At 42.2% G+C, this 26,043-nt stretch overlaps 1 long non-coding RNA gene across 1 annotated transcript, besides 3 other annotated features; it reads left to right on the forward strand.

Annotated features, from left to right (window-relative positions):
- Positions 466-555: an enhancer, noted in NCBI's record as "active region_2076". NCBI's record gives its function as "activates an Ori minimal core promoter by ATAC-STARR-seq in GM12878 lymphoblastoid cells {active_cell/tissue: GM12878}" and the evidence as "EXISTENCE:reporter gene assay evidence [ECO:0000049][PMID:35858748]".
- Positions 3,809-25,409, forward strand: LOC107985745 (uncharacterized). Its single transcript, XR_007066727.1, has 3 exons — positions 3,809-4,000; positions 24,946-25,102; positions 25,233-25,409. It is a non-coding gene; the product is annotated as an uncharacterized LOC107985745 (long non-coding RNA).
- Positions 9,204-9,709: an enhancer, noted in NCBI's record as "H3K27ac-H3K4me1 hESC enhancer chr1:169636965-169637470 (GRCh37/hg19 assembly coordinates)". NCBI's record gives its function as "activates a minimal SCP1, AML or CMV promoter by ChIP-STARR-seq in primed H9 embryonic stem cells {active_cell/tissue: H9 hESC(primed)}" and the evidence as "EXISTENCE:reporter gene assay evidence [ECO:0000049][PMID:30033119]".
- Positions 21,962-22,211: an enhancer, noted in NCBI's record as "active region_2077". NCBI's record gives its function as "activates an Ori minimal core promoter by ATAC-STARR-seq in GM12878 lymphoblastoid cells {active_cell/tissue: GM12878}" and the evidence as "EXISTENCE:reporter gene assay evidence [ECO:0000049][PMID:35858748]".
- Positions 25,410-26,043: the final 634 nt, after the last annotated feature.

Below are 26,043 nucleotides of genomic sequence, written 5' to 3' on the forward strand. Positions count from 1 at the left end.
ACACGCAGGCTCAAAATAAAGGGATGAAGGAATATTTACTAAGCAAATGGAAAGCAAAAAAAAGCAGGGGTTGGAATCCTAGTCCCTGATAAAACGGACTTTAAACCAACAAAGATCACAAAAGACAAAAAGGGCATTAAATGAACGTAAGGGGATCAATGCAACAAGAGCTAATTATCCTAAAAATATATGCACCCAAAACAGGAGCACCCAGATTCATAAGGCAAGTACTTAGAGACCTACAAAGAGACTTAGACTCCCACACAATAATAGTGTGAGACTTTAACACCCCACTGTCAATATTAGGCAGATCAACAAGACAGAAAATTAACAAGGATATTCAGGACTTGAACTCAGCTCTGGACCAAGCTGACCTAATAGACATCTACAGAACTCTCCACCCCAAATCAACAGACTGTGCTTTCTTCTCAGCACCACATCACACTTATTCTAAAATTGACCACATAACAGGAAGTAAAACACTCCTCAACTAATGCAAAACAATTGAAATCATAATAAACAGTCTCTCAGACCACAGTGCAATTAAATTAGAATGCAGGATTAAGAAACTCACTCAAAACTGCACAACTACATGGAAACTGAACAACCTGCTCCTGAATGACTACTGGGTAAATAACAAAATTAAGGCAGAAATAAATAAGTTCTTTGAAACCAATGAGAACAAAGACACAATGTTCCAGAATCTCTGGGACACAAATGAAGCAGTGTTTAGAAGGAAATTTATAGTACTAAATGCCCACAGTAGAAAGTGGGAAAGATCTAAAATCAACACTTTAACATCATAATTAAAAGAAATAGAGAAGCAAGAGCAAACAAATTCAAAAGCTAGCAGAAGACAAGAAAAAACTAAGATTAGAGCAAAACTGAAGGAGACAGAGACTGAAAACCCTTCAAAAAAAATCAATGAACCCAGGAGCTGATTTTTCGAAAAGATTAACAAAATACATAGACCACTAGACAGACTAATAAAGAAGAAAAGAGAGAAGAATCAAATAGACACAATAAAAAATGATAAAGGTGATATCACTGATCTCACAGAAATACAAACTACCATCAGAAAATACTATAAACACCTAGTGCAAATAAACTAGAAAATCTAGAAGAAATTGATAAATTCTTGGACACATACACTCTCCCAAGAGTAAACCAGGAAGAAGTTGAATCCCTGAATAGACCAACAACAAGTTCTAAAATTGAGGCAGTAATTAATATCCTACCAACAAAGAAAAGCCCAGGATCAGATGGATTCACAGCCAAATTTTACCAGAGGTACAGAGGAGCTGGTACAATTCCTTCTGAAACTATTCCAAAGAATAGAAAAAGAGGGACTCCTCCCTCACTCATTTTATGAGGCCAGCATCATCCTGATACAAAAAACTGACAGAGACACAACAAAAAAAGAAAATTTCTGGCCAATATCCCTGATGAACATCAATGCGAAAATCCTCAATAAAATACTGGCAAACCGAATCCAGCAGCATATCAAAAAGCTACCCACCACAATCAAGTCAACTTCATCCCTGAGATGTGAGGCTGGTTCAACATACACAAATCAATAAATGTAATCCAGCACATAAACAGAACCAATGACAAAAACAACATGATTATCTCAATAGAGGCAGAAAAAGCCTTCAATAAAATTAAACACCCCTTCATTCTAAAAACTCTCAATAAACTAGGTATTGATGGAATGTATCTCAAAATAATAAGAGCTATTTGTGACAAACCCACAGCCAATAGCATACTGAATGGGCAAAAGCTGTAAGCATTCCCTTTGAAAACCGACACAAGACAAGGATACCCTCTCTCACCACTTCTATTTAACATAGTATTAGAAGTTCTAGCCAGGCCAGTCAGGCAAGAGAATGAAATAAAGGGTATTCAAATAGGAAGAGAAGAAGTCAAATTGTTTCTGTTTGCAGATGACATAATTGTGTATTTAGAAACCATTGTCTCAGCCCAAAATCTCCTTAAGCTGATAAACAAATTCAGCAAAATCTCAGGTTACAAAATCAATGTGCAAAAATTACAAGCATTGCTATACACCAATAATAGACAAACAGGGAGCCGAATCATGAGTGAACTCCTATTCATAATTGCTACAAAGAGAACAAAATCCCTAGGAATACAACTTACAAGAGATGTGAAGGACCTCTTCAAGGAGAACTACAAACCACTGCCCAAAGAAATAAAAGTGGACACAAACGAATGGGAAAACATTCCATGCTCATGGATAGGAAGAACAAATATCATGAAAATGGCCATACTTCCCAAAGTAATTTATAGATTCAATGCTATCCCCATCAAACTACCACTGACTTTCTTCACAGAATTAGAAAAAACTACTTTAAATTTCATTCTGGTAACAAAAAAGAGCCCACATAGCCAAGACAATCCTAAGCAAAAAGAACAAAGCTGGAGGCATCACACTGCCTGACTTCAAACTATACTACAAGGATACAGTAACCAAAACAGCATGGTACTGGTACTGAGAGGTGACAGCGTGCTGGCAGTGCTCACAGCCCTCGCTCACTCTTGGCGCCTCCTCTACCTGGGCTCCCACTTTGGCGGCACTTGAGGAAACCTTCAGCCTGCCGCTGCACTGTGGGAGCCCCTTTCTGGGCTGGCCAAGGCTGGAGCCGGCTCCCTCAGCTTGCGGAGAGGTGTGGAGGGAGAGGCATAGGCAGGAACCGGGGCTGTGCGTGGTGCTTGTGGGCCTGCGCGAGTTCCGGGTAGGCGTGGGCTTGGTGGACCCCACACTTGGAGCGGCCAGCCGGCCCCACCAGCCCTGGGCAGTGAGGGGCTTAGCACCTGGGCCAGCAGCTGCTGTGCTCAATTTCTCGCCAGGCCTTAGCTGCCTTCCCACGGGGCAGGGCTTGGGACCTGCAGCCCACCATGCCTGAGCCTCCCCCAACTCCCTGGGCTCCTGTGCAGCCCGAGCCTCCCCAGTGAGCACCGCCCCCTGCTCCACAGCGCCCAGTCCCATCAACCACCCAAGGGCTGAGGAGTGTGGGTGCACAGCATGGTACTGGCAGGCAGCTCCACCTGCAGCCCTGGTGTGGGATCCACTGGGTGAAGCCAGCTGGGCTCCTGAGTCTGGTGGGGATGTGGAGAACCTTTATGTCTAGCTAAGGGATTGTAAATACACCAATCGGCACTCTGTATCTAGCTCAAGGTTTGTAAACACACCAATCAGCACCTTGTGTCTAGCTCAGGGTTTGTGAATGCACCAATCGACACTCTGTATCTAGCTACTCTGGTGGTGACTTGAAGAACCTTTGTGTCAACACTCTGTATCTAGCTAATCTGGTGGGGACTTGGAGAACTTTTGTGTCCACCTCAGGGATTATAAATGCACCAATCAGCACCCTGTCAAAACAGACCACTTGACTCTACCAATCAGCAGGATGTGGGTGGGGCCAGATAAGAGAATAAAAGCAGGCTGCATGAGCCAGCAGTGGCAACCCGCTCGGGTCCCCTTCCACACTGTGGAAGCTTTGTTCTTTCGCTCTTTGCAGTAAATCTTGCTGCTGCTCACTCTTTGGGTCCACACTGCCTTTATGAGCTGTAACACTCACCGTGAAGGTCTGCAGCTTCACTCTTGAAGCCAGCAAGACCACGAACCCACTGGGAGGAAAGAACAACTCCAGATGTGCCACCTTAAGAGCTGTAACACTCACCGAGAAGGTCTGCAGCTTCACTCCTGAGCCAGCGAGACCATGAACCCACCAGAAGGCCGAACACATCCAAACATCAGAAGGAATAAACTCTGGACACGCCGCCTTTAAGAACTGTAACACTCACTGCGAGGGTCCATGGCTTCATTCTTGAAGTCAGTGAGACCAAGAACCCACCAATTCCGGGCACATTTTGGTGACCACGAAGGGACTATCACCTATTGCCAAGCGGTGAGGCTATCGCCAAGCAGTGAGACCATTGCCTGTCACTGTGCGGCGAGACAATTGCTTATCGCCAAGCAGTGAGTACCATCGGACGCTTTTCACTTGCTATTCTGTCCTATTTTTCCTTAAAATTCGAGGGCTAAATACTGGGCACCTGTTGGCCAGTTAAAAGCGACTAGCACGGCCGCCAGACTAAAGACACGGGTGTCAGGCTTTCTGGGAAAGGGCTCTCTAACAACCCCCGACTCTTCGAAGTTGGGACTGTTGGTTTGCCTAGAACCAGCTTCCACTTTTCCTGTACTTCTGGGCTGAGCCGAGGGTTGACAGAGAGGAAAGCCATGCAGCTCCGGGGTCCTGACAACAAGTTGGTTGACCCTGTGGCCATGAGCAGAACTCTCAAAGGCATGTTGCCCAAGCGAGACTCTCGCCCATCTATCCTATCTATCCTGATGCTTGCCCCCTGGGTCCTAATGCCTGCCAGACAAACTTCCTCTTGCCTCTCTTCTCCGAGGTTAGTCCCACTTCTAAAAATTGCTACCTGTCTCTGGTGCTTTTCTAGTTTCTCCTATAAGAATGATTTCTAGAATAAACTCCAGGACTCTGTTACCTTCTTTAGGCACCCGGGCTCACCAATCAGAAAGACATAATTTTTGCCCAAAGCCCCATCATAGTGGGGACTACCTGGAATTTTAGGATCCCTCCTCAGACTAATAGGCATAACAAAAGCTATTCCTGAAGCTAGGATATGGGGAGCCTCAGAAATTGTATCCTTCCTATTCATATAAGTGAGGACAAAAGGTGTCACTCTTCCAACCCTGGAGATCACTTCCCTCCCTCAGGGTATGGCCCTCCACTTCATTTTTGGGGCATAACATCTTTATAGGAAAGGGGTAAAGTCCCAATACTAACAGAAGAATGCTTAGGACTCTAACAGGTTTTTGAGAATGCGTCAGTAAGGGCCACTAAAGCCGATTTTTCTCGGTTGGTCCTCCTTGTGGTCTAGGAGGACAGGCAAGGGTGCAGGTTTTCGAGAATGTGTTGGTAAGGGCCACTAAATCCGACCTTCCTCAGTTCTCCATGTGGTCTGGGAGGAAAACTAGTGTTTCTGCTGCTGCGTCGGTGAGCACAACTATTCCGATCAGCAGGGTCCAGGGACTGTTGCGGGTTCTTGGGCAGGGGTTGTTTCTGCTGCTGCGTCGGTGAGCACAACTATTCTGATCAGCAGGGTCCAGGGACTGTTGCAGGTTCTTGGGCAGGGGGAAAAACAAAATAAACCAAAACCATGGGCGGTTTTGTCTTTCAGATGGGAAACACTCAGGCATCAACAGGCTCACCCTTGAAATGCATCCTAAGCCACTGGGACCAATTTGACCCACAAACCCTGAAAAAGAGGTGGCTCATTTTTTTTCTGCACTACGGCTTGACCCCAATATTCTCTTTCTGATGGGGAAAAATGGCCACCTGAGGGAAGTACAAATTACAATACTATCCTGCAGCTTGACCTTTTCTGTGAGAGGGAAAGCAAATGGAATGAAATACCTTATGTCCAAGCTTTCTTTTCATTGAGGGAGAATACACAACTATGCAAAGCTTGCAATTTATGTCCCACAGGAGGACCTCTCAGCTTACCCCCATATCCCAGCCTCCCTATAGCTCCCCTTCCTATTAATAATAATCCTCCTCTAATCTCCCCTGCCGGAAGGAAACAAGCAAAGAAATCTCCAAGGGACCACAAAAACCCCTGGGCTATCGGTTATGTCCCCTTCAAGCTGTAGGGGGAGGGGAATTTGGCCCAACCTGGGTACATGTCCCCTTCTCCCTCTCTGATTTAAAGCAGATCAAGGTAGACCTGGGGAAGTTTTCAGATGATCCTGATAGGTACGTAGATGTCCTACAGGGTCTAGGGCAAACCTTAGACCTTGCTTGGAGAGATGTCATGCTACTGTTAGATCAAACCCTGTCCTTTAATGAAAAGAATGCAGCTTTAGCTGCAGCCCGAGAGTTTGGAGATACCTGGTATCTTAGTCAAGTAAATGATAGAATGACAACCAAAGAAAGGGACAAATTCCCTACTGGTCAGCAAGCCATCCCCAGTATGGATCCCCACTGGGACCTTGACTCCGATCATGGGGACTGGAGTCATAAACATTTGTTGACCTATGTTCTAGAAGGACTAAGGAGAATTAGAAAAAAACTGATGAATTATTCAATGATGTCCACCATAACTCAGGGAAAGAAAGAAAAATCCCTCTTCCTTCCTTGAGCGGCTACGAGAGGCCTTAAGAAAATATACTCCCCTGTCACCCGAATCACTCAAGGGTCAATTGATTCTAAAAGATAAGTTTATTACCCAATCAGCTGCAGATATCAGGAGAAAGCTCCAAAAGCAAGCCCTGGGCCCTGAACAAAATCTAGAGGCATTATTAAACCTGGCAACCTCAGTATTCTATAATAGGGACCAAGAGAAAGAGGCCCAAAAGGAAAAGCGAGATCAGAGAAAGGCTGCAGCCTTAGTCATGGCCCTCAGATAAACAAACCTTGGTGGTTCAGAGAGGATAGAAAATGGAGCAGGCCAATCACCCGGTAGGGCTTGCTATCAGTGTGATTTACTAGGACACTTAAAAAGATTGTCCAATGAGAAACAAGCTGCCCCCTTGTCCATGTCCACTATGCTGAGGCAATCACTGGAAGGTGCACTGTGCCAGAGGATGAAGGTTCCCTGGGTCAGAAGCCCCCAACCAGATGATCCAACAACAGGACTGAGGGTGCCCGGGGCAAGCGCCAGCTCATGTCATCACCCTCACTGAGCCCCAGGTATGTTTCACCATTGAGGGCCATGAAATTGACTTCCTCCTGGGCACTGGCATGGCCTTCTCAGTGTTAATCTCATGTCCTGGATGACTGTCCTCAAGGTCCGTTACCATCCGAGGAATCCTGGGATAGCCTGTAACCAGGTACTTCTCCCACCTTCTCAGTTGTAATTGGGAGACTTTGCTCTTTTCACATGGCTTTCTTGTTATGCCTGAAAGTCCCGCACCCTTATTAGGGAGGGATATATTAGCCAAGGCTGGAGCTATTATCTACATGAATATGGGGAACAAGTTACCCATTTGTTGTCCCCTACTTGAGGAGGGAATCAACCCTGAAGTCTGGGCATTGGAAGGACAATTTGGAAGGGCAAAAAATGCCCGCCCAGTCCAAATCAGGTTAAAAGATCCCACCACTTTTCCTTATCAAAGGCAATATCCCTTAAGGCCTGAAGCTCATAAAGGATGACAGAATATTGTTAAACATTTGAAAGCTCAAGGCTTAGTAAGGAAATGCAGCAGTCCCTGCAACACCCCAATTCTAGGAGTACAAAAACCGAATGGTCAGTGGAGACTAGTGCAAGATCTTAGACTCATCAATGAGGCAGTAATTCCACTATATCCAGTTGTACCCAACCCCTATACCCTGCTCTCTGAAATACCAGAGAAGGCAGAATGGTTCATGGTTCTGGACCTCAAGGATGCCTTCTTCTGTATTCCCCTGCACTGTGATTCCCAGTTCCTCTTTGCTTTTGAGGATCCCACAGACCACATGTCCCAACTTACGTGGACGGTCTTGCCCCAAGGGTTTAGGGATAGCCCTCATCTGTTTGGTCAGGCACTGGCCCAAGATCTAGGCCACTTCTCAAGTCCAGGCACTCTGATCCTTCAATATGTGGATGATTTACTTTTGGCTACCAGTTCGGAAGCCTCGTGCCAGCAGGCTACTCTAGATCTCTTGAACTTTCTAGCTAATCAAGGGTACGAGGTGTCTAGGTCGAAGGCCCAGCTTTGCCTACCGCAGGTTAAATATCTAGGCCTAATCTTAGCCAAAGGGACCAGGGCCCTCAGCAAGGAACGAATACAGCCTATACTGGCTTATCGTCACCCTAAGACATTAAAACAGTTGAGGGGGTTCCTTGGAATTGCTAGCTTTTGCCGACTATGGATCCCCAGATAGTGAGATAGCCAGGCCCCTCTATACTCTAATCAAGGAAACCCAGAGGGCAAATACTCATCTAGTCGAATAGGAACCAGAGGCAGAAAGAGCCTTCAAAACCTTAAAACAGGCCCTAGTACAAGCTCCAGCTTTAAGCCTTCCCACAGGACAAAACTTCTCTTTATACGTCACAGAGAGAGCCGGGATAGCTCTTGGAGTCCTTACTCAGACTCGTGGGACAACCCCACAACCAGTGGCATAGCTAAGTAAGGAAATTGATGTAGTAGCAAAAGGCTAGCCTCACTGTTTAAGCATAGTTGCAGCAGTGGCCGTCTTAGTGTCAGAGGCTATCAAAATAATACAAGGAAAGGGTCTCACTGTCTGGACTACTCATGATGTAAATGGCATACGAGGTGCCAAAGGAAGTTTATGGCTATCAGACAACCACCTACTTAGATACCAGGCACTCCTCCTTGAGGGACCAGTGTTTCAAATACACACGTGTGTGGCCCTCAACCCTGCCACTTTTCTCCCAGAGGACGGGGAAACAATCGAGCATGACTGCCAACAAATTATAGTCCAGACTCACACCGCCTGAGATGAGCTCTTAGAAGTCCCCTTAACTAATCCTGACCTTTACCTATATACCAATGGAAGTTCATTTGTGGAGAATGGGATACGAAGGGCAGGTTACACCATAGTTAGTGATGTAACCATACTTGAGAGTAAGCCTCCTCCCCCAGGGACCAGTGCCCAGTTAGCAGAACTAGTGGCACTTACCCAAGCCTTAGAACTGGGAAAGGGAAAAAGAATAAACGTGTATACAGATAGCAAGTATGCTTATCTAATCCTATATGCCCATGCTGCAATATGGAAAGAGAGGGAGTTCCTAACCTCTGGGGGAACCCCCATCAAATACCACAAGGAAATTATAGAGTTATTGCACACAATGCAAAAACACAAGGGGGTGGCACTCTTACACTGCCAAAGCCATCAAAATGGGAAGAAGAGGGGAGAGCAGCAGCATAAGCGGCTGGCAGAGGCAGGGAAAGATCAGCAAGAAGGAAAGAGAGAAAGAGAAAGTCAGAGAAAGAGAGAGAGGAAGAAACAGAGAGAAAGAAAGAGACAGGAAGTCAAAGAGACAGAGAAGGAGACAGAGAGGAAGAAGTCAAAGAGAAAGAGAAAGAGAGACAAAGGAGAAGTCAAAGAGAAAGAGAAAGAGAGATGGAAGTAGTAAAGAAAAAAAAACAGTGTACCCTATTCCTTTAAAACCCAGGGTAAATGTCTATCTACCCAGCCAAGGCATATTCTACTTATGTGGATCTTCAACCCATATCTGCCTCTCAGACAGTTTGCAAGAAATAATGAAATCTATCCTTACTTTACAGTCCCAAATAGACTCTTTGGTAGCAGTGACTCTCCAAAACCGCCAAGGCCTAGACCTCCTCACTGCTGAAAAAGGATGACTCTGCACCTTCTTAGGGCAAGAGTGTTGTTTTTACACTAACCAGTCAGGGATAGTACGAAATGCCGCCCGGTGTTTACAGGAAAAGGCTTCTGAAATCAGACATCTTTCAAACTCTTATACAAGCCTCTGGAGTTGGGCAACATGGCTTCTCCTCTTTCTAGGGGAGCAGTGGAGGGAGAGGTGCGGGCAGGAACCGGGGCTGCATGCGGTGCTTGTGGGCCAGCGCGAGTTCCAGGTGGCATGGGCTTGGTGGACCCCACACTCGGAGCGGCCGGCCGGCCCCACCGGCCCTGGGCAGTGAGGGGCTTAGCACCTGGGCCAGCAGCTGCTGTGCTCAATTTCTCGCCAGGCCTTAGCTGCCTTCCCACGGGGCAGGGCTTGGGACCTGCAGCCCACCATGCCTGAGCCTCCCCCAACTCCCTGGGCTCCTGTGCAGCCCGAGCCTCCCCGACGAGCGCTGCCCCCTGCTCCACGGCACACAGTCCCATCAACCACCCAAGGGCTGAGGAGTGCGGGCTCACGGCACGGGACCGGCAGCCAGCTCCACCAGCAGCCCCGGCGTGGGATCCACTGGGTGAAGCCAGCTGGGCTCCTGAGTCTGGTGGGGATGTGGAGAACCTTTATGTCTAGCTAAGGGATTGTAAATACACCAATCGGCACTCTGTATCTAGCTCAAGGTTTGTAAACACACCAATCAGCACCCTGTGTCTAGCTCAGGGTTTGTGAGTGCACCAGTCGACACTCTGTATCTAGCTGCTTTGGTGGGGCCTTGGAGAACCATTATGTCTAGCTAAGGGATTGTAAATACACCAGTCGGCACTCTATATCTAGCTCAAGGTTTGTAAACACACCAATCAGCACCCTGTGTCTAGCTCAGGGTTTGTGAATGCACCAATCGACACTCTGTATCTCGCTACTCTGGTGGTGACTTGGAGAACCTTTGTGTCGACACTCTGTATCTAGCTAATCTGGTGGGGACGTGGAGAACTTTTGTGTCTACCTCAGGGATTGTAAATGCACCAATCAGCGCCCTGTCAAAACAGACAACTTGGCTCTACCAATCAGCAGGATGTGGGTGGGGCCAGATAAGAGAATAAAAGCAGGCTGCATGAGCCAGCAGTGGCAACCCGCTTGGGTCCCCTTCCACGCTGTGGAAGCTTTGTTCTTTCACTGTTTGCAATAAATCTTGCTGCTGCTCACTCTTTGGGTCCACACTGCCTTTATGAGCTGTAACACTCACTGCGAAGGTCTGCAGCTTCACTCTTGAAGCCAGCAAGACTACGAACCCACTGGGAGGAACAAACAACTCCAGATGGGCCACCTTAAGAGCTGTAACACTCACCGAGAAGGTTTGCAGCTTCACTCCTGAGCCAGCGAGACCACGAACCCACCAGAAGGCTGAACACATCCGAACATCAGAAGGAACGAACTCCGGACACACCACCTTTAAGAACTGTAACACTCACCGCGAGGGTCCGCGGCTTCATTCTTGAAGTCAGTGAGACCAAGAACCCACCAATTCCGGACACAGTACCAAGACAGATATATAGACCAATGGAACAGAACAGAGCCCTCAGAAATAATACCACACATCTACAACCATCTGATCTTTGACAAACCTGACAAAAACAAGAAATGCAGAAAGGATTCCCTGTTTAATAAATGGTGTTGGGAAAACTGGCTAGCCATATGCAGAAAACTGAAACTGGATCCCTTCCTTACACCTTATACAAAAATTAACTCAAGATGGATTAAAGACTTAAATGTGAGACCTAAAACTATAAAAGCCCTAGAAGAAAACCTAGGCAATACCATTCAGGACATAGGCATGGGCAAAGACTTCATGACTAAAACACCAAACTCAGTGGCAACAAAAGCCAAAATTGACAAATTTGATATAATTAAACTAAAGAGCTTCTGCAGAACAAAAGAAACTATCATCAGAGTGAACAGGAAACCTACAGAGTGGGAGAAAGTTTTGCAATCTATCCATCTGACATAGGGCTAATATCCAGAATCTACAAGGAACTTCAAAAAATTTACAAGAAAAAATCAACCCCATCAAAAAGTGGACAAAGGATATGAACAGACAATTCTCAAAAGAAGACATTTATGTGGACAACAAATGTATGAAAAGAAGCTCATCATCACTGGTCATTAGAGAAATGCAAATCAAAACCACAATGAGATACCATCTCATGCCAGTTAGAATGGTGATCATTAAACAGTCAGGAAACAACAGATGCTGGAGAGGATGTGGAGAAATAGGAATGCTTTTACACTGTTGGTGGGAGTGTAAATTAGTTCAACCACTGTGGAAGACAGTGTGGCGATTCCTCAAGGATCTAGAACCAGAAATACCATTTGACCCAGCAATCCCATTACTAGGTATGTACCCAAAGGATTATAAATCATTCTACTATAGACACATGCACACATATGTTTATTGCAGCACTGTTCACAGCAGCAAAGACTTGGAACCAACCCAAATACCCATCAATGATAGACTGGATAAAGAAAATGTGGCACATATACACCATGGAATACTATGCAGCCATAAAAAATGATGAGTTCATGTCCTTTTCAGGGACTTGGATGAAGCTGGAAACCATCATTCTCAGCAAACTAACACAGGAACGGAAAACTAAACACCGCATGTTCTCACTCATAAGTGGGAGTTGAATAATGAGAACACATGGACACAGGGAGGGGAACATCATACACCAGGGCCTGTTGCGGGGTGGAGAGCTAGGGGAGGGATAGCATTAGGAGAAACACCTAATGTAGATGATAGGTTGATGGGTGCAGCAAACCACCATGGCATGTGTATACCTATTTAACAAACCTACACGTTCTGCACATGTATCACAGAACTTAAAGTGTAATTTTTTTAAAAAACATCACTTTTAGGTGGTATGTTATCTACTGATGAAGAGGAAGGCTATAATCACAAGCTCCTTAGTGAGCAATAGGGGGAGGGTATCTGATGGTATAGAAAGGAGAATGGGGTGGCACTAGAGACCAATTTAAACCACTTCACAATTGGGCCTGACCCCAGCTTTGGTTTGAAACCGAGGGCAGGAGCAGCCAGGCAGCAACGTCTTTTCCTGTCTTCAAGCACAGGAAATCAGTTAGATTGACCTGACATACTTGGATGATAAACAGTGGCAGGCTTTCCCAGGCAGCATTGTACTTCTTCCCCTGTTAACACCTCCCACTGTGGAAAAATCTAAACAAACTAGAATTAACAGGAATCCAACATCTTCTTTTCTATAGCGAAAAGTTTCCTTGCCTAACTCATTTAGGAGACTTTTTGGGAAGTTAGAAAGTTGGAAAAAGAAAAGCTTCACATCAGTGCATAGCTGTTTTTAACTTCTATGTGTTGAAAAAGCATATCTGATCAAAATTTTTACCTATTATGCATTTGATATATAAATAAGTATATAAATGCACACACAGACACAGCAATGATGGTGAACAGTCTTCATACAATTATATCACACACAGACACAGCAATGATGGTGAACAGTCTTCATACAATTATATGACACACAGACACAGCAATGATGGTGAACAGTCTTCATACAATTATATGGATGAATCTCATAAAATGCTGAGTTAAAGAAATCAGACCAAAGAACATATACTGAAAGATTCTCTCTATATACAAAGTTCAAAAATAGGTGGGACCAATTCATGGTGGTGTTAGAAATCAGAAGAGAGGCTACCTTTGTGGGGAGGGGACAGTTTAATGCCCAGAAGCGGTAAATAAGGAATCCTCTGGGGAGTGGTAATGATCTGGATGCTGGCTACAGGATGTGTTGGTTGTAAAAATGCATTTTTTTATATCTAGCTTTTTCCATGTGTATATTATACTTCAAAGAAGTTCAGTTAATAATTTCTCATGTCACTGTAGAGTAGCTCAGTTAGCCCCAGCAAGCCTCTGGCTTAATCTTGTTTTACCTTAAGCCATCAGTCATTTACAAGTAGGAAAATTCACAGGGAAAGTTAGAGTATAAAATCCAGAATGAAGGTTTACTGGGTAAGAGTCTCTCCATTTTCCAAAGCCCGTTTATTTCTTGATTCCAGTTCTTAAGAAGTCTCAGCATTGTGTCTTTTTCATGTATCTTACAAGAAGACAGCATGTGCTTCTAACACCTGATACATTGTATCTACCAGCACTTGGTAAACAGAAAAGAACCACATTTTTCTTGTAGGAGAAATTTGGTGCCTATTTCCTACCAGGCACCAATAAGTGGGACCAATAGGTGGGATTAAAGATACAGTAGAAAGTATTTAAAACTTGCCAGGGGGCAATAGTCTGAAAATAAGTAAATTGGTGCTATAGAATGGAAGTTACAGGCTTCTTTCTTTTTTCCCACAAGATCTGCTCCTTGAGCCCCTAGAGACTTTTCTGTCTGTTACTGTTTCTTCATTCCTCATCTGCAGAGCCAGCCCTGAGAAGTGCAGACCAAAGCCAGGGAAGGCTCTGCAAAGATGTACAAATGGAAGTCACCTTAATAACCTCTGACTGCTGCGCATAATACATTTCACTCAAAAGAGGGGTTAAACAATGGAACAGAATACAGAGGCCAGAAATAATGCTGAACACTGACAACCATCTGATCTTTGACAAAATCCACAAAAACAAGCAATGGAGAAAGGACTCCCTATTCCATAATGGTGCTGGGATAACTGTCTAGCTATATACAGAAGATTGAACCTGGGCCCCTTCCTTACATCATATACAAAAAATAACTCAAGATGGAGTAAAGACTTAAATCTAAAACCAAACACTATAAAAACCCTGGAAGATAGCCTGGGAAATACCATTCTGGACATAGGACCTGGCAAAGACTTCATGACAAGACACCAAAAGCAATAGCAACAAAAACCAAATTGACTAATGAAACTAATGAAACTCTTTAGTTGTACAACAGATAGTTTATCTGTACAACAAAATAAACTATCAACAGAGTAAACAACCTACAGAATGGAAAAATTTTTTGCAAACTATGCATCTGACAAAGGTCTAATATCCAGAATCTATAAGGAATTTAAACAAATTTACAAGCAAAAAAATGACCTCATTAAAAAGTGGGCAAAGGACATGAACAGATGCTTTTCAAAATAAGACATTCACACATCCAACAACCATATGAAAAGATGTTTAACATCACTAATCATTAGAGGAATACAAATCAAAAGCATAATAAGATACCATCTAATACCAGTAGGAATGACTACTATTAAAAAGTCAGACAATAACAGATGCTGGTGAAGGTTGTGGAGAAAAGGGAATGTTTATGCACTGCTAGTGGGAATGTAAACTAGTTCAGCCATTGTGGAAGAGAGTGTGGTGATTCCTCAAAGAATGTAAAACCGAACTGCCTTTCAATCCAGCAATCCCATTATTGGATATACACCAAAAGGAATAGAAATTGTTTTACCGTAAAGGCGCATGCATGCATATGTTCATTACAGCACTATTTACGATAGCAAAGACATGGAATCGTCTAAATGCCCATCAGTGGTAGACTAGCTAAAAAAAAAAAAATGTGGTACATATACATCACAGAATAGTATGCAGCCATAAAAATGAACAAGATCATCATGTCCTTTGCAGCAACATGGATGTAGTTGGAGGCCATTATCCTAAGCAAATTAATGCAGGAACAGAAAGCCAAATACCACATGTTCTCATTTATAAGTGACAGCTAAATATTGAGTACACATGGACACAAAGAAGGGAACAATAGACATGGGACCTACTTGAGAATAGAGGGTGGGAGGAGGGTGAGGATCAAAAAGTACCCATAGGACACTGTGCTTATTACCTGGGTGATGAAATAATTTGCACACCAAACCCCTGTGACACACAATTTACCTATATAGAAAACCTGTGCATGTACCCCTGAACCTAAAAGTTAATGGTGGGGGGGTGGGGTTAAGCTACTTTGTGGTATAAATCTGAGCATTCATATTAAAATAAAATATTTACCTCATTAGAGTAATTAACATTTATTAAGCAAAGAGCCAAGTACCTTACACACATGATGTTTAATCTCACAATGATCTTTAATCTCATAACAACCGTCCATTGTATGTACATATGTGGAAATTGAGCCTTGGAGAGATTAAATGCATGGGGCATGCCATTTGACTAGAAACTGGAAGCATCAGGATTTAAACTCAGTTCTGAATGGTTTTGTAGGCTTTGTTTTTTCCACATTATAGCATGGCCTGCCATGAAGAACAGGTCCTTTCTGGTGTTTGTCTTGTTTGGTTTAAGTGAAGCAAATATTTATTTAAATATTCAAGATATGCTGTTAAATTTTTACTCAAAAATTTGAGTACAGTATGGATCTTCTGAAGCCAAATAACTCTTATTCAATGCTTAGTTGAGAAATTTTATGGAGTAGTTCTCAATTTTTATGTAGTTCCACTGCAAAGGTAAGTCTTATGGAAAGATTCACTGTAATTTTTTTTCCTCATTTGGACATCAGCTTTTTCTTTTCCTCAGACCCGCTGAAAGATAATTTTTAAAATAAAAACCTTGTTTTTATATCAAGTGGGGACATTTTTTCCAAATGAAAACCGTGTATTCATTTTATATGATAAAATCAATGTTATTATTTTTAAAATTTTGATTTAAAAATCATTAAAAATAAATTTTCAGATATTACCTGAAATTCTACCATCCAGAGATAATAGTGCTTAAAGATTTGATATATAGACACACACACATATATACATATATATCATCCTAAACTTCTTTGTATAAATGTATATAAAGTTTTTAATAAAAACTAGGAGATTAATGCCCTTTGAATGAAAATAAATACAATGTGTATGCTTTAACATCTTGCCTTTACTTTATAACATTTATCACAGCAGTCATGAGATAATGATTTACATGGTCATTGTTAGTAAGCTAATAGCTAAGTGCATGAACTCTGGAGCTAGCCTCCCTGGATTTTAATCCCAGATCTGTCACTGACCAGCTGAGCAATACTAGGTAAATTGCTCTTGTTCCTTAGTTTCTTCATCTGTAAAATAGAGATAAAAATAATATCCACCTCATAGGATTGGTGTGAGCATTAAATGAGCATACGTATGTAGGCCACTTAACAACAATGCCTTCACATACTGAACACAAATATACGAGCTGTTGTCTTATTGGGCTCATGTTTTTCCTACCACTAAGCCGCATGCATGCAAGGACCATGTTGGTTTTGTTCCACATTGCATCCCCAACCTGGTATACAGTGTGCATTCAATAGTTGTTGACTATTATTACTAGTGGCATTTAACAAATATCTGTTAAATGAGTGAAGAAATACCCATTTACTGCAAGTGTGTCTAATATTGATGGCATAATGGGGGAAACTCAAACTCTGGAGTCAAACAGGTTTTAAAACCTTATTCCCTCATCCTCAGTTATTGACGTTTTTTTTTTGGCAGGTGTGTGTGTGGGACAACTTATTGAACTTTTCTGAATTTCCAGCTTCGCATATATAAAATAGAGATAGTGATTCATTCTTGCAATGTATGGATTTGAGACAATTGTGTAAGTTTATCAATAAATAGTAGCTATTTTTGTATAAGTATTACATATAATATCCAGGCCACTGCTTTGCATAACCCAAAAGGGGCACCATTCATGCAGAATACAACATAAATGGTGTCCCTGGAGCAGTGCAGTATAGGAACCCTGAGGGGACCTACAGTATACTTTATAGTTCATAGATTACAAATTATCCCTTTATCAGAGTCTCTCAAGGTTGGATGTATTTGAGGTCCATAAGAGCAATTTAGGATTAACAGTAGCTGCAGAAACCATCTGCAGTGATATTCTCATTTTAAATCCGCGGGAAAGAAGACAGCTATAAACTTGGGACCTGGGTTTAAGCATTTTAAATGCCAAGTTCACCATTTTCTAAAACACAACAAATACCCAGTGAGAGAGGGAGAAGGGAAGTAAATGCCTCTGAATAAGCAAGTTAATGTCAGTAGTTGTACTGTATGCATATTGATGAACAATAGAGGAACCAATGTCCAATCAGATGAGCAGGATATTTGGCAATAACAAGTTGCCTTTGAGGAAAAATGATTTTCTTGGCAAGTTCTTTATCAGCATTACAAAGCTAAAAGCTACGCTTATCATCACTTATACTAGCATACCCTGTTGTGCAAATGCTGTCTGTGTTTGCATCTGCTATTGTTGATGCCTGGTGCATGAATCAGGACTCCAGCCCACAAGTTTTCCCAGAACTTTCTTATGGCCATCATCTTTAAGTGTCTGGTGAACAGTCATAGTTTGGTACACAAAAGGGTCAACCTGGGGGATGGCTAGGGTTTGACTCAGTCGTTACATTTCAATAGAGCAGGAAGGGGAAATGGTGGCCTGTAACCTCAGGGAATTTTGCCAGTTGGTCCACCCCACTCTCTCTCTCCTGCTCTGAGGAAGTGGCACAGCCTAGAACAGCACCACAGGTGAGAGAAATGCAAACCCTAACCAGAGAAGCAGACTCTTTGCCAGTAGTAATAGTTCAGGACCACCACCAGCTTTTATTAAAATTTTTAATAACACTCAAGTATTGGCAGAAAGAAATAATCTTGGGTTAACTATAACTAGAATATTGACTCTTCCTCTGTGGAAGAATCAGCCAATCACATTTGTTTACATCAGTTCCCCTGAAGAAGAAAAATACACTGATGTTGCAGCAAGACAAATTTAAGCTAGATGTAAATAACTTCCTTTAGCCTGTAATGCTAGGCTAATTACATATTGGAACTATTTTTTCAGGGAAGAATTGTGTAGGGTTTCAGGGAAGAATTCTGAAGAAAATATAGAGCTGAAATGATCTTGCAGCTCACTGAAACTGCAGGGTTTAGATCCACACTGATACTCGTTCTATTATCACTGTAATGAAGGCTGATGGAATAAGTAAAAATGTTTTGTATTAGTATGTTTTTACACTTATTTGCAAGGCATAAATAGGTTAGGTTTTGATCTTAATTTAATTCTAACATGTATTGTGCACAAGCTGTGAGCAGTTTTCAGGAGTTAGGTATCTGGCCATGACTGATTTTTCAGGAGTTAATCATCTGGTAGAAGGGTCATACACAATAGGAAGATGTGTGTGACAGGTTGTGATCATTACTATAATCACACAGAGAGCTGTAGAATTTTAGGCTGGCAGGGTGGCTCACGCCTGTAATCCCAGCACTTTGGGAGGCCAAGGCAGGCGGATCAAGAGGTCAGGAGATGGAGACCATCCTGGCTAACACGGTGAAACCCCGTCTGTACTAAAAATACAAAAAAAAAAAAAAGCCAGGCGTGGTGGTGGGCGCCTGTAGTCCCAGCTACTTGGGAGGCTGAGGCAGGAGAATGGCGTGAACCCGGGAGGTGGAGCTTGCAGTGAGCCGAGATCGCATCACTGCAATCCAACCTGGGCGACAGAGGGAGACTCAGTCTCAAAAAAAAAAAAAAAAAAAAGTCATGTTAGATCCAGAGGGGTAGCAACTGGGGCTGGGCTGTCAGTCAACTCAGTCAACTCAGTCAACTCTGCTCCCCCACAGGAGATGCCAGTGATGCATTTTCATGGCCAACATTGTCAGTCAGCATCATTGAATTACTCCTGATTATAGAGACACAGCTGCAAACGATTCCCCATTAAATATGATGTTTCTTGCAATGTTTGGAAGGTACTCCTTTTTAGTAAGGGAAATCCCCTCTTCTGGCTTGCTGAAAGTTTTTTCTTTCCATTTTAAAAATCGTGAATTCCTTTTTGCAATATTGAGGTGGTTATATGGTTTCTCTTCTCTAATCTGTTAATATGGTGATTTAATGGTTAGAAATTTTCTAATGTAAATTCCACTCATATTGCAGAAATAAACCTAAACTGAGCATGAGGCTATATTTTTTATTTGCTTCTATATTTGGTTGCTATACAGTATTATGTTTAAGATTTGTTCACATATATTTGTGAATGGGATTGGACTATTTTTCCTTCTTGCCGATTTTTATCTGGTTTTTAAATTAAGGATATTTTAGACTTATGAAATATTTGGCAAACAATCCTTGGCAAGTAATTTTTTGGGGAATTTGTTTTGGCTATTTTGAGTATTACCCAATATATTTTAATTAAGTTATTCTTAATGTTTTCTTAATTAAAAAAATTACCTACTCTAGAGATATTCTTTATGTACTCCAGATTTTGTCTATTTATACCACTTTTCTTTTTTCCTCGATGAGTGTCATAGATGTTCATCTATTTTTTTATCTTCTTTGATCTTCTCTTATTCCTTGTTTCTATTAACTTCTGAAGTTTATTATTTTCTTTTTTCCACTTCCTTATGGTTTATTCTTTCAATTTTTCTCTAACTTCTTAAGTTGGGTGTTTAATTTTTAGCTTGCTTTGCTTTTTTAGGATAAGCATTAAAACTACAAATTTTCCTTGTTATTCTTTTGCTGCACCCCAAATTGTTGATATTTCTATTGTCTAATTTCTATTCAATTAGAATACTTTAAAGTTTCTTTTTGGTTTTTAAAAACTAACTTTTTAAATTGACAAATAAAAATTGTGTATATTTATTGTGCACAGCATATGGCTTTGAAATATATGTACATTGTGGAATGGCTAAATTTAGCTTATTAATGTATGCATTATCTCACATACTTATCATTTTTTGTGGTGAGAGCTATGTGACTTTTGAACTTATGAGTTATTTAAATATTTTTAAATTATTAAGCATATTGGGATTTTAAGTAATTTACCTTTTTATTATTAACTTATAACAAGTAGAACAGTTAACCTGTATGATTCTACATCATTGAAATTTATTGACATTTGCTTCATAGTCTATTATATGGTCTACTTTTGTTCATGTTACATCTGTAGTAGAATTGGCTAATAGTTGAGTAAAGTACACATATGTCTATGAAATCAAGTGTAATCCAGAGAAAAAGAGAAATTTACTGAATATATTGTTCTAGGTGCTATTATATGTTGTCATGTTTAATCCTCACCACAATTGTATGAGGCAGCCATAATTAATTCCACTTTACACATGAGGAGCCTGAGGGTTAAAAAAAAAGCTAGCTCTACTATTTGTAAAGAATGAAGCAAAGATACAAATGAAGGCCCACATATCCTATAACTAGATATTTAAGCATTTTAATTCAAGCTTTAAAACTGCTAAATAAAATGTGCTCCAATTTCTATATTGACAGACATACCTTCCTAATGAGCTGGGGTTCGAATTTAGAAATCTTTGATGCTTCAGAGTCCACACTGAAATGTGGAGGCACATAGTGAGTTGGTCCCCAGCCTTCAGTCCACCCACCTTCTCTTTACTAAATCACCTTTCACATACATGTATGAACACCCCAGCCTCCAAGTCCAAACCCTAAACAAAATGGGACACCCTTGTGCATACACAGAGACACAGCCCATCCTCAGGAAAACCTGGAAAAGTCCATACAAGTTCTGGAAGCAAGCTTGGGACGGTTTCAGTAGTGTGGTCTATAAGGGAGGCCTCAGAAGACAGGTTTTCTTAATTCTGTGAACTTCTCCCACAGTAGAAAGGGTGCTGGAGGAGGGTCAGAGTGAGGACTTCTAAAGCATGGGTCCTGAGTAGGGGCCACTCTTGCCCAAGTCTAAGAAGGGTACTAGAATAGCACACTACTACTAGATACTAGAACCCAGATACAAGCACAGGTCTTCTGAAATTAATAATAATAATAACTATTACCATTATTATACCAGTAGCTGTCATTTATTTAGTGCTTATTATTTGCCAGTCACTGTTCTAAATTCTTTACATGTATTATACAACTGCCATATAACTGCCATATGAGGGATGTACCCTCATTGTCACCATTTTACCGATGAGAAAACTGGCATAAAACGTTTAAGTAACTTGTCCAAGTTACAGAGCTTAGTGAAGCCACAATGTTGCTCAATTTGCTCTCAAACTTCAAAGGGATGGGAAGGACACCTAAGTCATAGAGTCTTTAAGAATCAGAGCTAGAAGGAATCTTAGATGTTATCTAGTCAGCCTCCTCCCATTACAGTCCAAGAGAAGATGGCCCTGAGTTACTTGTAGCTATTTTTGCATGTGAATTGCAAGTGAATATACATTCTACTGAAGATAAAAGATATTTAAAGATATCGCTGGATATAGGAACAGTGGTTTTAAATCTCTAGGCTTTAACTTTTCTCAGAACAAGAAATCCTTTTTGGTTTTAATCTATATGCACATCTGTATTTTTCTCAATTATCGGGTAGTAAAATATAACTTTTCTTCTGTAATATTTTTTAACTTTAATGAGTGTTCCTCATAATAGAAAAGTTTGGAAACCATTGCTATGGGTATATACTTTCTAAAGGGATAGTAATTTCTCTAGAATATTCATTTAATGCTCCAGAAGTAATTAGCACAATTGTGCAAGTCTGTGCATCATCAACTATACATTCTGCCTGTTTACTCCAAATCCACATGAAACTGATTATACAGTCAAAGGCGAGCCCAGTGGAGAGGCATTTTTGGAGACTTCCTGGTACATTGAGACAGGGTCGGCCAGTCTGCGTTAGGGTCTTGGTCAAAACTGCATTTCTGAAACTAAACTCAGATTGCTTTCTTTTAAGGGGTCAGAACTGATTCAAATCTACATTTTTAAAAGCCTTAGATGTGGGGCTTTTCCTATTCCCAGTCTCCGCTATTGGTCTTTGTGAATCCACAGGCAATTTGGCCACATCCTTGACTCTCTCTTATATTAAGAATTAAACAGCTAAGTTCATGCAGAGGAAATATAACAAAGGAGGGACTTTCCTACAAGATCTTTGAAAAATGGAACATTTGCATAAGTCATATTTAGCCAGAACTGTTGTTTTATATTTTCCTTTCTGAATACTTTGTTACACCTCCTCCCAGCCAACCCCCCCCCTCCCTGACCCCAACTAGTCAGAGACCAAAGCCTTCACAATGGTTTACACTTGAACCTTCCTGGCCCCACCCTCATCATCACGCCTGAATAATTACATTCACTGACTGGTCTCCCCTGCTTCCGTTTATCTCCACTCCTAAACCCTCTGACACCTTAATCTTCCCAGAATACCATTGTGATCCTGTTCCACTCTTGCTCAAGTTTTCCCAGAAACTAGAGTACAAACTTTATAAGCTTTAGAGTTGAAAGCCACTCTATCTCTTTTTCATCCCCAGGTCTCTGCCAAGGCAGTATAACCTGTCCAACATCTCTAACTTCAATACCTTTGTCTTAGATACTAGACTCTCCTCCTGGTTTCTAATTAAACCTGATCTAGGATCTAATTTTGCCTCTGAATTCTGTTGCCCTTTGCCAAGTGATCTCTTCCTCCTCTGAGCCGCAGCATCTCTGAGCTTGCACACTTAGCATAGCCATAGCACACACAGCCTTAGCTTGCAGTTCAGGGTGTTTACCTTCCCTCCCCTTCCAGATGCTGGATCCCCAGGGATAGGAACTCTGCCCTTATGTGTCCATAGCCCCTGGTAGTATGTCTTGCAGTCGTACATTTTCAGCAAATGTTTAATTGGTTAATTGAAGACAACTGTCCCATGCCTTAAGCCTCTCTTTTTGCTAAACATGCCTGTGTCCTTTGTCATTGAACAACTATTTTGATCTATTTTCTTCCTGACATAGGGGTCAGTTCCGAGGATGCTGAAATCAAGAGACATAGCTTATTCTCTCAAAATTGCTTTCAAGAGTGATTTTGTTGTGAATTGAGAACTGGCTGCCTACTTTTGGACTACCCACTTCAGCAAGAGTGTTTGAAACCAAATCTATTCTAAGTAATTTTTTATTCCCTTTTCTCTATGGCATTAGACACACAGCTCTTTTAAACTACCTTTCGTTATCTATTAAACAGACATTCAGTAACTCTATAGACACTGTCTAGCTATATGAACTTAGACAAACTAATATCTCTGAGCTTCAGTTTCTTAAAATTTAAAATGAGGACAATACCATCTATGGCCGGGGATTAAATGCTATGAGGAATGTAAACCAGATGTCAGGTACCATCTCTCTAAAATCCAGATAAAATGAATTAAAAATACTGGCCGCAAACCCTCTCTAAGAGTTCTCAAAATTCTCAGAGAGCTTAATTTTCATGCTCACCATAGCACCGATTTTCTTCTAAATATTTTGTTTCTACCAAAATATTTTGTCCCAATTTTGCCTTTTATGGCTATTTCTTCATATCCACTTTCCCAAACTAAAGAAGCAGCCCCTTCACCTTAAACTCCTCCTTCAAAGCAACCTAAATACAGGTCTGGGTTTGTATTCCTAGTGGGATGTTACAGAGGTTAGTGTGATGCAGAGGAGGAGTCATGCTGTTTAAATCCATACTAGTCCCCAGAGGCCAGGCTGCTTCTGCCACCCCTACCCCTCCCGCCACAGAGCTCTTCAGCTTCTCACATTTCTAGTTCTTCTCTCTCTACTTTCATTACCTTCTCTCTTTTTTTTTTTCTTCTCATGTGCTCACGGGAGCAGAGAAAATTAACTCCTCTAAGTTTTCTTAACACAGAGTGCCTTAATTACATATTACTATTGTTTGAGTTCCTGCCAACACTACGTCTGTAGGGTCACACCTGCTATATTAGAGGCTTATCAAAAAAAGATAGCTTTCTCCTAAAAAGGGATTTGGATGCCTACTAAGATAACTGGATGCCAAGATAAGTTTAACCTAACAAACTTTATTATTATTATTATTATTATTATTAGAGATAGGTACTTATTCTGTCACCCAGACTGCAGTGCAGGGATGCAATAATAGCTCACTGCAGCCTCAAAGTCCTGAGTTCATGCAATCCTTCTGCTTCAGCTCCCTGAGTAGCTAGGACTACAGGCATATGCTACTCTGCCCAGCTACTTTTAAAAAAATAATTAGGGATGGGGTCTTGTTGTATTGCCCAGGCTCGTCTCAAACTTCTGGTTTCAAGCAATCCTCCTGCCTTTTACCTCCCTAATTGTTGGAGTTACAGGCATGAGCCACAGCACTCAACCAAGATTTAAAAACTTTTAAAAGAAATCACATTACTTACTGTTATCATCATTATGGTTACTACCAGTGTTAAAACAATTGGTATTGAAAACACCACTACCAGATCAAGCTTCAAACCAAGATGTCAAGTAAATATTATTGTCAGACCTCTGAGCCCAAGCCTGCAGGTATACACCCAGATGGCCTGAAGCAAGTGAAGAATCACAAAAGAACTGAAAATGGCCGGTTCCTGCCTTAACTGATGACATTCCACCATTGTGATTTGTTCCTGCCCCACCTTGACTGAGGGATTAACCTTGTGAAATTCCTTCCCCTGGCTCAGAAGCTCCCCGACTGAGTACCTTGTGACCCCCACCCCTGCCCACAAGTGAAAAACCCCCTTTGACTGTAATTTTCCACTACCCACCCAAATCCTATAAAACAGCCTCACCCCTATCTCCCTTCGCTGACTCTCTTTTCAGACTCAACCTGCCTGCACCTAGGTGATTCAAAAGCTTTATTGCTCACACAAAGCCTGTTTGGTGGTCTCTTCACACAGACCATGTGACATTTGGTGCCGTAACTCAGATCGGGGAACCTCCCTTGGGAGATCAGTCCCCTGTCATCCTGCTCTTTGCTCCATGAGAAAGATCCACCTATGACCTCTGGTCCTCAGACCAACCAGCCCAAGGAACATCTCACCAATTTTAAATTGGGTAAGTGGCCTCTTTTTACTCTCTTCTCCAGCCTCTCTCACTATCCCTCAACATCTTTCTCCTTTCAATCTTGGCACCACGCTTCAATCTCTCCCTTCCCTTAATTTCAGTTCCTTTCTTTTTCTGGTAGAGACAGAGGAAACGTGTTCTATCTGTGAACCCAAAACTCCAGCACTGGTCATGGACTTGGAAAGACAGTCTTCCCTTGATGTTTAATCACTGCAGGGATGCCTGCCTGATTATTCACCCACATTTCAGAGCTGTCTGATCACTGCAGGGACGCCTGCCTGGATCCTTCACCTTAGTGGCAAGTACCACTTTGCCTGGGTGGCAAGCACCACCTCTCCTGGGGGGCAAGCACCACCTCTCCTGGGGGGCAAGTACCCCCCAACCCCTTCTCTCCATGTCTCCACCCTCTCTTCTCTGGGCTTGCCTCCTTCACTATGGGCCACCTTCCACCCTCCATTCCTCCCTTTTCTCCCTTAGCCTGTGTTCTCAAGAACTTAAAACCTCTTCAACTCACGTCTGACCTAAAACCTAAATGCCTTACTTTCTTCTGCAATACCGCTTGACCCCAATACAAACTCAACAATGGTTCCAAATAGCCTGAAAACGGCACTTTCAATTTCTCCATCCCACAAGATCTAAATAATTCTTGTCGTAAAATGGACAAATGGTCTGAGGTGCCTGACATCTGGGCATTCTTTTACACGTCGGTCCCTCCCTAGTCTCTGTTCCCAATGCAACTCATCCCAAATCCTCCTTCTTTCCCTCCTGCCTGTCCCCTCAGTCCCAACCCCAAGTGTCGCTGAGTCTTTCCAATCTTCCTTTTCTACTGACCCATCTGACCTCTCCCCTCTTCCCCAGACTGCTCCTCCTCAGGTCGCTCCCCGCCAGGCTGAATCAGGCTCCAATTCTTCCTCAGCGTCCGCTCCTCCACC

The sequence above is a fragment of the Homo sapiens genome, chromosome 1, assembly GCF_000001405.40.
Source record: "Homo sapiens chromosome 1, GRCh38.p14 Primary Assembly".
Taxonomy (NCBI): Eukaryota; Metazoa; Chordata; class Mammalia; order Primates; family Hominidae; genus Homo; species Homo sapiens.